The sequence below is a fragment of the Homo sapiens genome, chromosome 2 (genome assembly GCF_000001405.40).
Source record: "Homo sapiens chromosome 2, GRCh38.p14 Primary Assembly".
NCBI classification, from domain to species: Eukaryota; Metazoa; Chordata; class Mammalia; order Primates; family Hominidae; genus Homo; species Homo sapiens.
Window position 1 is genome coordinate 111,118,842 of NC_000002.12, and position 14,422 is coordinate 111,133,263.

The 14,422-nt window shown below is 48.2% G+C and overlaps 1 protein-coding gene across 33 annotated transcripts in view, besides 6 other annotated features; it reads left to right on the forward strand.

Moving 5' to 3' along the window:
- Positions 1,278 to 1,357: an enhancer, noted in NCBI's record as "active region_16381". NCBI's record gives its function as "activates an Ori minimal core promoter by ATAC-STARR-seq in GM12878 lymphoblastoid cells {active_cell/tissue: GM12878}" and the evidence as "EXISTENCE:reporter gene assay evidence [ECO:0000049][PMID:35858748]".
- Positions 1,638 to 2,177: a silencer, noted in NCBI's record as "silent region_11865". NCBI's record gives its function as "represses an Ori minimal core promoter by ATAC-STARR-seq in GM12878 lymphoblastoid cells {active_cell/tissue: GM12878}" and the evidence as "EXISTENCE:reporter gene assay evidence [ECO:0000049][PMID:35858748]".
- The window catches only part of BCL2L11 (BCL2 like 11), a 47,532-nt gene continuing 35,182 nt past the window's right edge, over positions 2,073 to 14,422 (forward strand). For 7 of the 33 annotated variants that reach the window (NM_001204108.1, NM_138624.4, NM_138622.4 and 4 more), the window contains exons 1-2: positions 2,073 to 2,347; positions 4,892 to 5,298. In NM_001204108.1, the coding sequence (NP_001191037.1) occupies positions 4,905 to 5,298 (394 nt within the window). In that variant the 5' untranslated portion in view covers positions 2,073 to 2,347; positions 4,892 to 4,904. The other 26 variants (NM_138623.4, NM_006538.5, NM_001204112.2 and 23 more) reach the window with 11 other exon arrangements.
- Positions 2,508 to 2,627: an enhancer, noted in NCBI's record as "active region_16382". NCBI's record gives its function as "activates an Ori minimal core promoter by ATAC-STARR-seq in GM12878 lymphoblastoid cells {active_cell/tissue: GM12878}" and the evidence as "EXISTENCE:reporter gene assay evidence [ECO:0000049][PMID:35858748]".
- Positions 2,508 to 2,805: a biological region, named in NCBI's record as "Sharpr-MPRA regulatory region 8028".
- Positions 2,511 to 2,805: a silencer, noted in NCBI's record as "tiled region #8028; HepG2 Repressive DNase unmatched - State 1:Tss, and K562 Repressive DNase unmatched - State 1:Tss". NCBI's record gives its function as "represses a minimal TATA promoter and a strong SV40 promoter by Sharpr-MPRA in HepG2 and K562 cells {active_cell/tissue: HepG2 | K562}" and the evidence as "EXISTENCE:reporter gene assay evidence [ECO:0000049][PMID:27701403]".
- Positions 3,598 to 4,157: a silencer, noted in NCBI's record as "silent region_11866". NCBI's record gives its function as "represses an Ori minimal core promoter by ATAC-STARR-seq in GM12878 lymphoblastoid cells {active_cell/tissue: GM12878}" and the evidence as "EXISTENCE:reporter gene assay evidence [ECO:0000049][PMID:35858748]".

Here is a 14,422-nt window from a genome sequence, read left to right on the forward strand (position 1 = left end):
CCCAGTTCCGGGAGGACCTCCCGACGGCGCGGGAGAAGGCTGTAAGGGCTCTTGGCCCCCGACGCGGCCTGGGTCTCGGGGGACGCATGAACCCGCCACCTCTGGCCGGCTTCCTTTTAGTGCCCCAAATAGCAGCGCTTAGCCCGTTGCTTCCCCCGACTCTTGTTTTTCAAAGTGTTCACAGGGTCGCGAGAGCGAGCGACGCGGGGGCGGCGAGGCTGCAAGGCTGCACAGGAACAGACGACAAGAAATAGGGCTTTCTTCTGCGTGGTTCTTTTCCGGTCCCTGTCTGAGTCGCCCGACCCCGCGGGGAGCGCGGAGCATTGCGGCGTGCGGCGGGCTTCGGGCTCTCAGCCCGCGCAGCAAGTTGTGTTGCTTTTCCCCGGGTGCGACGCGGGACGGCCGCGAAGAGCAAAGTTCGTCCGCGGTAGGAACTTCGAGGCCCGGTTAGGACCGATCTCCGGCCTCCGAGTCTACTTAGCCGTGTCCACGCTCGTGCCTTTTCCCTCTTGCAGCGAAATAACTGGGCGGGGCCCGACGCGCGTCCTCCAGCGACTCCGGGAACCCAAGGCCTCCTTCACCTCGCTCAAAATTCACCCGAAAATGCGCTGAGACTTTGGCATGGGGCTGCGCTGTGTCCCACTGACGTTACAGAAGCGCTTATGAATTTAAAAACTGCTCCAGGCGGCCGGACGGCGGGACAACGCCTCCTCACTTGCTCCTCTACGGCAAGGCCCCTTCCTTCTCCCTGCCGGCTGCGGTGGTGTGTAGGGTGGTCCCTTTACAGAGTTTCCTTAATCCATCTAGCCTGACCTCACCTGCGGGATGTTCCATTTCCCGATCCACCTCCCACACCCCCGCTGCAGTTGTCTAGAAGCTGGGGCTGGGGAACTGAGGCGCGGGAGGAGCAGACAGGAGGGCCGGGGTTGGGGCGCCAGCCACGCGTTGGGAGAGCAGACCCGGGTGCAGACTCAGAGGACTGGAGAGGCGGCATGGAGTTTGGTCTCCTGGGAGGTAGAGTGAGGTGCTGCGGACTCCAGGGAGGAAAGGGATGGGTGGGGAGGCGGGAGGGGAGGAGGGACGGGGTATTTTGCGCTCCCGCACCGCGGCCCGAACTCAGCTGTTCTGCCTTCACTGGCCTCAGCCAGTCGAGGGAGCTCCTACGAGGTTATCTGCGAGCCCAGCAAATCTTGGGGGTCCTAGCCAAATGCAGTGCGCAACGTTCTCTCTCACTTGGAGGCCGCCATTCACCTCGTTTTTTTTTTTCCTAAAAGGATTTTTTTTTCTGAGTGCTTTTTTCATTTCCCTATTTTACCTGCTTTGCACATGCCTCCCGCCCTCACCCGGGAGGCGGCGAAGACGCCCACTGGGACCGCGCCTGGCCGTTTTCTGGGCGCGTCCTGCCCCCACGGCCTCTGTCTCTTAGGGCGACTGGGCGCGGAAGAAAAGCTGGAGAGCCCCTGCGGGGTGGCAGGAGGAGGGTGCCTGAGTCCCGCGAGAGGCCCGGGCGAGGAAGATGCGCAGCCTGCTGATCCGCGTCCCGCCCGGCGCCAGGGACCCTCAGAGGGAGGAGAGCTCAAAGACCTCGCCCCGCGCCTTCGCGAGGACCAACCCAGTCCCCGCGCCTGCCCCAGAGCGGCTTAGAAACTCAGGGCACAGTGAGAGCGCAGGGCGCCTCCCGAGGCTTCACACCGCCGGCCGGGCCAGCGGAGGCTGTGACCGGAGCGCCCCCTCTGTGCCGCGCACGCCGCGGCCGCCGCCGGGTTGGGGTAGGTGAGCGGGAGGCTAGGGTACACTTCGGGGTGGGGGATGGGCGCGCACATGGCCGCCAGCAGGCAGAGTTACTCCGGTAAACACGCCAGGGACGGCGGCGCGCGCGGGAGGCAACCCAGCGGGGCAACCCCCGCCTTTACCTGTCCGAGCCTGCACGCGCCGGCGGCCGCGGCGCCGAGGGGGGCGGAGCTTGCCAGCCCGCGCGCCGGGGCGGGACCTAGCGGGGGCGGGGTCCGCAGTGATTGGGCGTAGGAGCGGGGCCGCCAGCCAGAGCTGGGCTGCAGGGCCGCGCAGGTTTCACTTCGCTCCGCGCAGCCGCCTGGTCTGCAGTTTGTTGGAGCTCTGCGTCCAGCGCCGCTGCCGCTGCCGCCGCCGCCGCCGCCGCCGCCGCCGCCGCCGCCGCCGCCACTACCACCACTTGATTCTTGCAGCCACCCTGCGAACCCTGCCACACTGCGATCGCATCATCGCGGTATTCGGTTCGCTGCGTTCCCGCCGCCACCGCCTCGGCGCCCTTTCTTGGCCCTTGTTCCCCCAAATGTCTGACTCTGACTCTCGGACTGAGAAACGCAAGGTAAATACCTCCAAATCCCGGGGCGCGGGCCTGGCACCGAAGGAAGACTAGCGCTGGAGCCCGAACGGCACCACCTACTGCCCGCTTCCCGTGCACGTGCGAGCGGAGACGCTTGCATCGGCGCCGCTTGTCGCCGGCGGGAGGTGGGGATCCGTGTGGATCGGGTTCCCTCTCGGGCAGGTTCTCTTTAAAGAAAAGTCGTTCACGCGGAACCTGCAGGCTCTTGGCCGAAGTGCGGCTTGGGACGGGATGCTGCGCGCGGGCCTGGTGAAGGGTCGTAGGTCCGGGCAGGAGGAGAGGCAGCGCGTGCCTTTCGGCGCCGGCCCGGGAGCTGAGGACCTGCTCGTAGTATCGGGCTGTGCGCCCAGCTGGAAAGTCTCGCCGCCGGCTCCGGCGCCCTCAGAGTAGCGGCCGCGCAGTGTGAGGGTGTTTCGTGTCTTGGTTTTTTGGGGCGCGTGGGCCTGTTGCGGAGGATTTGCGGAACTGCGGTGGTGATTTAACTGACGAGACACGGCTTTTCCTTTTACTCATTCAGGCCAAGGTTTCGGGGCCACTGCTGCGTTCGCTTTCTCAAGCGTACCTGGGGCCCCTGCTTGCTCTGCAGGAGTCCTGCGGCCTGTGCCATCCGCACGATTCCCTGGCAGCGAGAAATCTAGGTCCTCCCCTGACCACCTGGACCGCGCAGGGGACTAGTCGCGGCCGGCAGAACCTGCTCGGTCCCTGGGCCGGGCTATCTTAGCGGCTCACGCATGCCCGAGCACACCCGACCCGGTTCGCGGTGCAGGCTGGCGGCGCCGTGCCCTCTGGGACCTGTTGCCCCAGGGTTGGCGCTGCTGGTGGAGGGCCCGACGGACGCCAGGGCGGAGGGTGTGAATTTACTCGATGGTCGCGGACGTGCGCGTCCGCGGCCAGGGGTGGCTCTTCGGCTTTGACTCGTGTCTGCGGCGCACCAGGAGAGAGAGGAAGTTGTTGGAGGAGAATAGTTGCCACAGCCAGGGCGGTGACGGCCGTTAGGGTCTGCCCCCGACGGGCCAAAACAAGGACAAGTGGCGAGGACTGGGCCTGGGGATGGCCCTGCGGGTCCGGGCGCGGCGCAAGTCCTGCTTTGTCTCCAGGTGACTGGCTGTCCAGGACGGCGGGAGCTGCTAAGGCTTGTGTCCGGAAGGAGCACAGGGATGGGCAGGGTGGCCGGGCCAGCCGGCCCTCAAATCCTCCGACGAAGCGGCAGCCGCCACGACCACGGCCAGAGCAGCGCTCGGAGGCGAGTTTGTCAACAATCGCCTCGCCTTTGGCGGCCTGACCCGTAGGCGCCGCCCCCACCGCGGCTGCCGATTGGCTGCGGCGCGGAGCGACCGCGCGCGGACCAATTGGGAACGCGGGCACCCGGCGCCAGCGGCGCGGGGAGGTCGGCGGTGCCGGCGGCGGCGGGCGCAGAGCGCGAGGGGAGGAGCGGGAGGAGGCGGAGGATGTTCCCGGCGGCTGCGGCCGGGGCAGCGCGGGCCAGAGGCGCGGCGTGCGGAGCCCTCGGCTGCCCGGCGGAGCGCGGCGGCGGGCTGGCGGGAAGGCGCGGGCTTTGCGCTGCGCCGGGGACTCTGAACCCGAGTCCCGGGCTTTGTCTCCTGCGCTGCTTTCGTGGTGACGGTCAGGGGGCGCCCGGTCGGCGAAGGGCGCGGGCCGGACGCCGCGGGGCTTGGTCCCTGGCCCGGACGCTGCGCTCTGAAGGGAAGGCGCGGACGTGAGTTTCGGTGTGATTGCCTTCTGAGGGGAGGGTCTGTGGGATGAAGGCGGCGCGGCGCGCACCGGTGTCGCCTAGCCTGCGGACCTAGTTGTAGACCTTGCAGGCGTTCGCTTCGTCGCCCTCCGCCGCCCCCTCCCCATTTAGAGATGTGCACCTCACGGTGTGCACCTCAGAGAAGTTCTGTCTGATTCGGTGCGGCGTGCGGTACGGGAGCGGGAGGGAGGGAGCACGGGCGGAGAGAGCGCCAGAGCCGGGCCGAGCCGCGCTGGAGTTACAAACTCTATTGTGACGCACTTACTACGACTGACGGCCGCTGCCAGACCTTCCCCAGACTTGCTGCCCTCAGCATTTTCGGCAAACAATGGGGCCGGAGCAGGGAACGCGGCCAGCCGCCTGCAATCGCTGCATCTGCGCCCGCTCCTGTGCTCCGGCGTCCTACCTAACCCCGGGAAGTCAGAGCCGCTGGGAGTTTCTGACTTACTCGAAGAAGTCTGTCCTGGGCAAAGAGCACACACGAATAGACTTCAGATTAGCTGCTTCTCTGGAAACGCATGTGTGTGTGCACCAGTTCCGCAAGCTGTTGACATTGTTACTGTATTTTGTTTGGGGGTACCCTCTACCAAAAAAAAATTACACCTTTATTATTTTAGGTGCAATTTTTTTATTTGGGAGATTGTCAGAAAAGTATAGAACAAAGTATTTGGGATTAACCCTAAGAATTTTTAATCGCTAGGTGAGAGCTAATTTGTTTATTCATCGATTTTTTTTTTTGCTTAAAATAATCTTAGTTTTTATTTTACTTGCAGAAAAAAAGACCAAATGGCAAAGCAACCTTCTGATGTAAGTTCTGAGTGTGACCGAGAAGGTAGACAATTGCAGCCTGCGGAGAGGCCTCCCCAGCTCAGACCTGGGGCCCCTACCTCCCTACAGACAGAGCCACAAGGTAATCCTGAAGGCAATCACGGAGGTGAAGGGGACAGCTGCCCCCACGGCAGCCCTCAGGGCCCGCTGGCCCCACCTGCCAGCCCTGGCCCTTTTGCTACCAGATCCCCGCTTTTCATCTTTATGAGAAGATCCTCCCTGCTGTCTCGATCCTCCAGTGGGTATTTCTCTTTTGACACAGACAGGAGCCCAGCACCCATGAGTTGTGACAAATCAACACAAACCCCAAGTCCTCCTTGCCAGGCCTTCAACCACTATCTCAGTGCAATGGGTAAGCAATGCCTGGGTAAGAGGCAGTTGACGTGTGGATGGTTGAATCTGCTTGAAGGCTGTGTGTGGCATTTAAAATCCCCTTTTAAAACCCCGTAACTGATTTATTCCATCTTTAGATGGGAATGGAGGATGTGTCAAACTATCAAACCAACTTTTTTTTTTTTTTTTGAGATGAGTCTTGCTCTGTCGCCCAGGCTGGAGTGCAGTGGTGCAATCTCAGCTCACCGCAAGCTCCACCTCCCGGGTTCAAGCAATTCTCCTACCTCAGCCTCCAGAGTAGCTGGGACTACAGGCGCGTGCCACCACGCCCAGCTAATTTTTTCTATTTTTGGTAGAGATGGGGTTTCACCGTGTTAGCCAGGATGGTCTCAATCTCCTGACCTTGTAATCTGCCTGTCTCAGCCTCCCAAAGTGCTGGGATTACAGGCGTGAGCCACCGCGCATGGCCCACATCAACATTTTTACAAAGTTACTAACTTTTGTGGCAGTGATGAGTTGAGGTCCAAACATTAGCTTTCAGGTCTGTCTTCATTAAGCTAAAGTGTGTTTTAACCACCAGGCTTTACATAGTAATGACATTTTGCTTGAAAGGGAACTGATCATTTACAGAAAATAGCTTAATAATCAAAAGTGTAAAGAAAGATGACAATCATTTTTGAAAATAACACTTTTAAAAAAATGAACTAGTTCATGAAAGCAGTACCAACATAGAACCATGAAAATGGTTTGTTTTCTGCCTAAATTCCTCTTTGTGCTTATTGCTCAGAGGGTTTGGACATAGTACTAATCAGATTAGGTTGTAGGTTTTTATTTCAGGGATTAAAGGCAGTAGTAGGGTTTGAACCAAGAGTGGCTAACATAAATACCACAGAGGCCCACAGCAAAATCATGGAAGGAACTGACCTGGTGGAGACTGGTAAATTGGAGAGTATTTGCCCCTTCTATGTTTGGGCCACACCTAATTGTGGCTGTGAGGGCATGTGGTCTCAGGGTGGGTTTTCCTATATTGCAAGATAACCTAGGAATGCAAAATTGATGCCAGATACCCTGTTTCAACATTGACAGCTGATTCAGATTTTGAAAACATTGTACAAGCTGAAAAGAAACATCTGCAGACTTGATTTGGCCCTTGAACCTACAGCATGTGACTTTGGGTACATACTTTGGGTAACCTTGGTGAGGGGCTGAGTCTGTGTTGATCGACTTGCTGTTCCCCACCAATGGAAAAGGTTCATGTCTTGATCAGTAGTCAATCACATTGACCATTTGTCCAGATTAGCTTGCCATACATGAACAAGATAGAAGTAAGTTGGTAGAGTTATCAATTAGGAAACCCAGTACAGAGTCTATTATAATTTAGATTGTACCTCATGATGAAGGCTAACTCAACAAACCCATCAGAACAGACACTGGAACAAAATGACATTTCTAAATACCATCCAGCTCTGTCTTCATAGGCTTCAGTGAGGTAAATCAGGCAGGCCTTTGCCCATGTTATAGAATTGGAAAGAACCTCAGAGTGGTGGTCACTTGTCAGAGGTTGGGCACACCTGTGAGGTGGTGGGGAGAAATGACAGACATCCCAGCAGCTACACATGCTGGCTGCACGTCTCTTGCCAAATGCCAGGAGGTAATTTTTTAGGGTCCCTCCTTAGGGAAAGGGGCTGGAAGTTTTATTATTGCTGTTACTACTGCTCGTGAACTCATTTCAGCCTTAGAAGTTCTTGGCTTGTAGTTTTTGTTGTACTCATGAAAATGCTCCCCCATATATATGATCATTCTCGCTTACTATAACATCCTTGCTTACTAAATGAGTTAACAGGGCTTTATGGTGTGTATCGTGAAACACACGTGCATTAAAGACCCTCTGGAAGGTATTAGCTTTTCACACTTTCACAACAAAAGCTTCACACTTGTGGTTATTAAGCTATTTTCTCTAACCAGTTCCCTTTCAAGCAAAATGCATACATTGGTCTCTGTAGGTGATGGGTTAATGCATGGAAATAGTTTCTCCTTCCCTGGAACTGGGAATAGTGGGTGAGATAGTGTATTTTTTAATGTAAAGACAGGCACAAATGCTTTTTTTGTTGATAAATACTATTTTACAAGCTAATTATAAGTTAAGCACTGTTACTTGAGATGAAATATACAGGGCTTCAAAGATCATAATCTAAATAATTATGCACAGCTAATGGTTATACCTGTGAAGTAAAGTAGTGGATCCTGAGGTGTAATTTTATAGTATTAGCTGCATTTCAGTAGATGGTGTGATGAAGAGTTTAATGCATAGGATTAAATGAGAAGTTACGAGGAGTTTGTTTAAAGTTAATGTACCGAGGTAAGTTTTCAGTGTTAAGTTTTTGGGAGATTTGTTTTGGGAGAGGATGAGTTGGGGTTGGGGGAGGAAAGGACTTAGCCAGATGTGAGTTTCTTAAATTGAAGCATAAAATTTACAATTTATGTAGTCCATAATTTTCTCTGGACATTCTACAGTCTTAGTTCATGCCTGAAGACCACTGAAATAATGCTGAGTTGATAAGTGGTTCTCTTGACTTTGTTTAGTATTCTTTACTCAACCCTATCCATGAAGTTCTTCAATGAAGCTTTTGATAATTTATTGCAAAATACATTTTCCACAAAGAAGTCATTATGATTGGTTTGAACTAGTGGAACACAAATGTGAGGTTATAAAGAGGTTCGCCTTAGCCAGGGGCTCCTTTAGCTGCAAAGCAGTTTTTTGCTCAGCAACTTGGGGTAGAGATCAGTGTGTCTTGAAGTTTTGTTTTGCAAAACTTTGTTCTAATGAGAAAGTCAAGTCTTAGGAGGAATGTATAGTAGTTGAGTGTTTGTATTAACACTGTTTTCATATTTTCCTTTTATGTCTCTGATTTTTCTGAAGACAAGTTCAAGGAATATATTTCTCTGTGGGGCAACAGATACAGTTTTTTCACTTTTCCTCAATTTTAGTCTCCTTACACTCTGGGAGGATTAACTTGACAAATGATACCTTAGTGAATAACTGATTATTTTTATCAAAATCACTCACATGTGTTGGTTTACTGAGTGCCTTTTTGGATGAGTGTTTTATGCCATATGTGTTTTTAATGGAAATTAAAGTGTAGTCAGTACACTAAAGTGTAGTCAGTACAATTGGAAATAAGAGTTGAGAAAAGTCAGGATATGGAGGAATGCTCCCTAGTGTCATGTTAGTAAATGTCTTAAATTTTATACTTGTTCCCTGGCACATTGGAATTCACAGATGGGAGTTAATGGCTTTCTTTTTTTTTTTTTTTTTTTCCTCAGCGTCTTGTGGGTACTTCTCTTATAGCTGGTACTTGTCTGACCCCTCCTTTAGTTTGTGAGCTCCCTGGGCGGGGAATAATGGCCTGCAGATGCTAGCGAGTGCCTGACAAAGAGGAGAAGCCCAGGAGATGTTGAGAGTCAGTCCAGCTCTGCCTGTTAGCCTTTCAGACAAATAAAGTTGAAGAAGGCAGGTAGCAAGAAAAAGATCCTGACCTCTGCTCTGCCAAAGTGTTTTTAATTACCTGGATCTAGCTGTAAGGTTTGCCACGTAGTGGTGACAGCTGAGGTCTAGCTCAGCACTACTCAGCAGGGAAGCCACACATGCATTAAGCACTTGACATAGGACTAGTCTGAACTGAGTTGTGCTGTCATTATTGATACACACTGGATTTTGAGGAGACAAAAAAGAATGCAAAATAGTTTAATTGTTTTCATATGGGTTACATGTTGAAATGGTGTTTTAAATATATAGGTTAAATAAAATATAAACTTGTATTGCAGTTAAACACAAAGCGTAAAATTTACCATCTGAACCATTTATTTCTAAGTGTACTGTTCAGTAGTGTTAAGTGCACTTATTTTGTTGTGCGGCCAATCTCCAGAACTTCTTCACCTTGCAAAACAGAAATTCTGTACTCATTAAACAACTCCCCATTTCCCCCTCCCCCCAGCTTCTGACAACCACCATTCTATTTTCTGTCTATTAATTTGACAACTTCAGATACCTTATATAAGTGAAATTTATATAGTATTTGCTCTTCCATGACAGGCTTATTTCACTTAGCGTAATGTCGTCAGGGTTCATTTATCTTGCAACATGTCAGAATTTCCTTCCTTTTTAAGGCTGAAGGTTGTTCCAGTGTGTGTATATCACATACTTCATTTATCCATTCATCCATCAGGAGATACTTGGGTTGCTTCCACTTTTTGGCTATTGTGAGTAGTGCTGCTATGAACATGGGTATGCAAATATCTTTTGGGGGATTCTGCTTTGAATTTTTTTGGATATATACTTGGAAGTGGAATTGCTGGATCATATGGTAATTCTATTTTTAATTTTTTGGGGAACCATCATGCTGTTCTCCATAGAGGCTGTGCCATTTTACATTCCCACCAACAGGGCACAAGGGTTCCAGTTTCTCCACATACTTACCAACACTTTTTTTTTTTTTTTTTTAACAGTAGTCATCCTAGAGGATATAGGTGATCTTTCACTGTGCTTTGGATTTATATTTACTGGCTTAGATTTGTATGGCCACCACCATAGTCAAGATACAGAACAACTCAACCACAAGGATTTCTCATGATACCTTTTTATAGCCACAGCCACCTCTCTCCCTCTTCCTTGAGCATTTTGTCATATGGTCATTGGTGATTAAATAAAATGTATTTTAATATTGACTTTCTCTGTTTCTTTCTACCTTTTTAAACATGGCTACTAGAAAAATGCACAATTAGATTTGTGGCTGGTGTTCTGTTTCATCTAAACAGGCTGGCCTCACAGAGGAGCTGGAGTGTGCAGTGCTGCTCTAGCAAGCCAGGCTTGACTCTTCCCACTCAGGGCACATCACTTCCATGAAGCTTACTCCTTGGGTTGTTTGGTTGACTTAGGAGAATGGAAGTGATTAGCAGAATCTTGTAAGCATTTTAAACATTAAATGAGCATTGTAAACAGCGGCATTCTTCAGGCAAATACAGTTTTGTTTTACCTCTTTAAATTCCATGGTATATTCGGACTTCAAAAAGTAGATGGTAGAGCACATGCTTTCTCAGCACCTTCAGGCTGCCTGGAGCCTCCCAATAGAGGTGTCTTCGAGGGAGTCCCAGCTCTGTCTCTGAAACCCCAAAGTTACTTGTTTGACACCAAGAGAAATAAGGAAACTTTTTAGGTCCTAAGTGGGGAGAGAAAGTGCTAGAAGAGAAAGATATTTTTCTTTACTAGTTCCAAACACATTTATTAATTGTTAGTTACCCAATTTTAAATTTACATCTTAAAAAAATTTTTTTTCAGATAATTACAGATTCACATGCATTTATAGGAAATAATACAAAGAAATTGTATATGCCATTCACCCAGTTTCCTACGATGGTAACATCTTGCCTAATTATAGTATACTGTCACAACCAGCAGTTGACATTAACAGAATCCATCTACTGTATTGAGATTTCATCAGTTTCACATGCAGTCCATTTCATGTGTCTGTGAGTGTTTACTTCTATTCAGGTTTATCAAATGTGTAGATTTGTATGGCCGCCACCACAGTCAAGATGCAGAACAACTCCACCACAAGGATTTCTCATGGTACCTTTTTATAGCCACAGCCACCTTTCTGTCTCTTCCTTACCCATGATAACCACTCATCTGATCTACATATCTGTACTTTTGTCATTTCAAGGATGCTGTATAAGTGTAATCATACTGTATGTGACCTTTTGAGATTGGCTTTTTTCACTTAGCATAATTCCCTTGAAATTAATCGGAGATGTTGTGTAACAATAGTGCCTTGTTTTTTTATTGCTGAATAGTATTCCATAGATGATGCACCACAGTTTGCTTAGCTATTCACCTGTTGAAGGACACTGTGTTTGCATGTTCTGGCAAGGCCCTGGCACAGCTGGAACTCAGGGAGGATTAAAAGAAGTATTTATTGTACTTTTACTTCTCTTTTTTTTTTTTTTTGTGACAGTCTCACTCTGTCACCCAGGCTGGAGTGCACTGGTGCGATCTTGGCTCACTGCAACCTCCAACTCCCAAGTTCAAGCGGTTCTCCTGCCTCAGCCTCCCAAGTAGCTGGGATTACAGGCACGTACCACCACACCCAGCTAATTTTTGTATTTTTATTAGAGATGGGTTTCACCATGTTGGCCAGGCTGGTCTCGAACTCCTGACCTCAGGTGATCTGCCCGCCTTGGCCTCCCAAAGTGTTGGGATTACAGGCGTGAGCCACCACACCTGGCCCTACTTTTAGCATCTATGTGTTCACTTGTAGTATATAGAAATACAATTGATTTTTGTGTGTTGGTCTTCTGTTGTGCAGTTTGCTGAACTCCTTAATTCTAAGAGTTTTTCATAGATTTCCTGGGAGGTCTATATAGTTATGTGATCTGCAAATAGGGACAGTTTTATGTCTTCTTTCTGATCTGTGTACATTTCTTTTTCTTGCCCAGTTGCACCAGCTAGAATTTCTAGTGTTTATGTTGACTAGGAGTGGTGAGAGCAAACATCCATACCTAGTCCCCAATCTTAGGGGGAAAGCTTTCTGTTTTTAATCATTAAATATGATGCTAAGTGTAGGTTTTATATGGGTCGTCTTTAAAAGAATGAGGAAGTTTTAACCTGTATTCCCAGAATGCTGAGAGTTTTTGTCGTAAATGGATGGATGTTAGATTTTATAAAATGTTTCTGTACCAGTTGATATGATCCCATGATGTTAATTTATATTAACCTGTTGATATGGTACGTTCCATTGATTTGCAATGTTAAGTCTCTCTTGGATGTCTGAGACAAATCCTGCGTGGGTAGGGTCTGTAATTCTTTTTGTGCACTGCTGGATTGAATTTGTCGATATTTTGTTGAGAGTATTTGCGCCTAAGTTCTTGAGAGGGGTCTGTCGTCTTCTTTTAAGACTGGTTTTTATATCAGAACCTTAATTAGGAAGGGTTCCCTCTTTTATTTTCAGGACGATATTGTGTAAAATTGGTATTGATTCTTTTCTCAATGTAGAATTCTGTAGTGAAACCATCTAGGCCAGGAGATTTTTTTTTTGGCGGGGGATGGGGGCGGGGGTGGGGGGGATGGGGGGCGGGCGGGCATTTAGATTATAGATTTTTTTTTTCTTAGTTTTTGTAGGATTGTTCAGGTTGTCTGTTTCTTCCCAGTTGAGTTTTGATAGTTTGTAGCTTTTGAAGAATTGGTCCCTTTCTTCTAAGTTGTTGAATTTATGAATGTGAAAAGTATTTGTAGCATTCCAATATTTTTAATGGATGCAGGATCTGTTGTGATAACCCCTGCTTCATTTCTAATACTGGTAATTTGTGTCTTTTTTATCTCTGTCAGTCTTTCCAAAAGTTTATCAGTTTTGATTTTTTTAATCAGCTTTTTGTTCCACTGATTTTTCTCTACTTTCCTATTATTAAATTTATTGTTTATTATTTCCTTTTGCTTGCTTTGTGCTAGGTTCTTTTCCTAGTTTCTTGAGACAGACACTTGGAATAATGTTTTGAGACCTTTCCTCTCTTTTCTTCTTATTGTTTTCTCAGAAAGAAACATTTAATAGGTATTTACAAACAGAAACCCTATCTCGGGCAGCCTCAAGATGAGATGGTAGATCCGTGCATGGTTACACTCCAGACCCAGGGCTTATGAGCCATAGGGAAAGTGTATATATGCTTCAGAAGGGATGTATAGGACAGTTGGCTTAAGTTCAGGATTTATGGAAAGATAATATCAAACTAAGGACAGGATTGATGGTAAGTACATGCTCATACCCAAGGAACAGTAGATAAAATAGAAATCTTGGAGGCATTCGCAAAACCAGGGTTAATCAGAAGTTAACACAGCAGATTAGCATACAAGATGGAGTTGTTTGGCCTCCACACTCCAGCTCCCAATCTGGCTCTTACAGTCTCATGTGCCTTGCTCTTCTGCCATGGTCCCTGAACCTTCAGTGGGTGTGCTTCATTTTGTATAGCTTTACCAGTAGTGCCTTGGCAATGGAAAATAAATCGGGCACAGTGGAATTCCAAATGAGGGAGATTCTCAGGCTTTGTTGAATCATTTGTAGTCCTCAGAATACCATGATTCTGGTTTTCTGGGAAGAAGTAAAACGAGATAAATACTGTTAATATGCACACAAAGATTATAATGAAAAAGAACATGAAGAAAATTAGAACTCGGTTCTTCTTTAGAGACTTGTAGCTAGGAAGTAATTCAGGATGCAGTTTGAGTTGTAGGCAAATAATAAAAACTCAAAAATAATGGTTAGGGCTAGAATCTGTTAACAGGTATTGTAGTTTTCTTTGGAGCACATTTTTTTCTCCAGTTTCCCCATTCCTACCAAGGACCAATTTATTTGCAAAATACATTTTAGTCTCATTATACTTAGCCTGATTATTTGCATAAAGTGCAACAAGAATAGTGATTGGCCATATAGGCTCTTTTTAAGTTGGCTTTGCTGGAATTTTTTCATAAGGAATCTCAGATTAGACTTTTAGAAGCCTCCAGGCTTGAAAGCCAAGCTGAAAATTTGCCAGCAAACATTGCCTGTAATACCTACAGATCGGGTGAATTCCATTCTCCTCGAGGTCCCAAAGTATCTTGAGGTTCCTGGGCCTGTCGGAAAATGACATTCTTTGCTTATCGAAGATCAGGAACCTTGTAAGGGAACTGTGTAGACAAGGTACCAGGCCTGTCTTTTTTCAAGGGGCTTTTTATTCTTTAAAGCAGTCTGGTCATATCTGAAAATACGCTATTCAGTCAAAGCCTTGGTAAAATAACCCATGTCTCCAATTGCATATAGAACATACTCTATACAATTTCAGTTCTTTTAAATGTGTCAAGGTTTGTTTTGTAGCTCAGGATATGGTCTATTTTGGTGACTGAACAAAAGAAAACAGATTCTTAACTGAACTTATGCAAATAACTATATTGCCATAAAATAAGAATACTCATGAGTAGTTTCCAAATTTTGGAGAACTCAGAAAGGTAAATTTTGCTCATGAAAGTATACTTTACTCAATCATAAGCTATAAATAACTCAAAAGCAAAAGGATTTTCTTCAATTAGAATGGCAGCCTGCCAAACAGCGTGCTGTGCATTC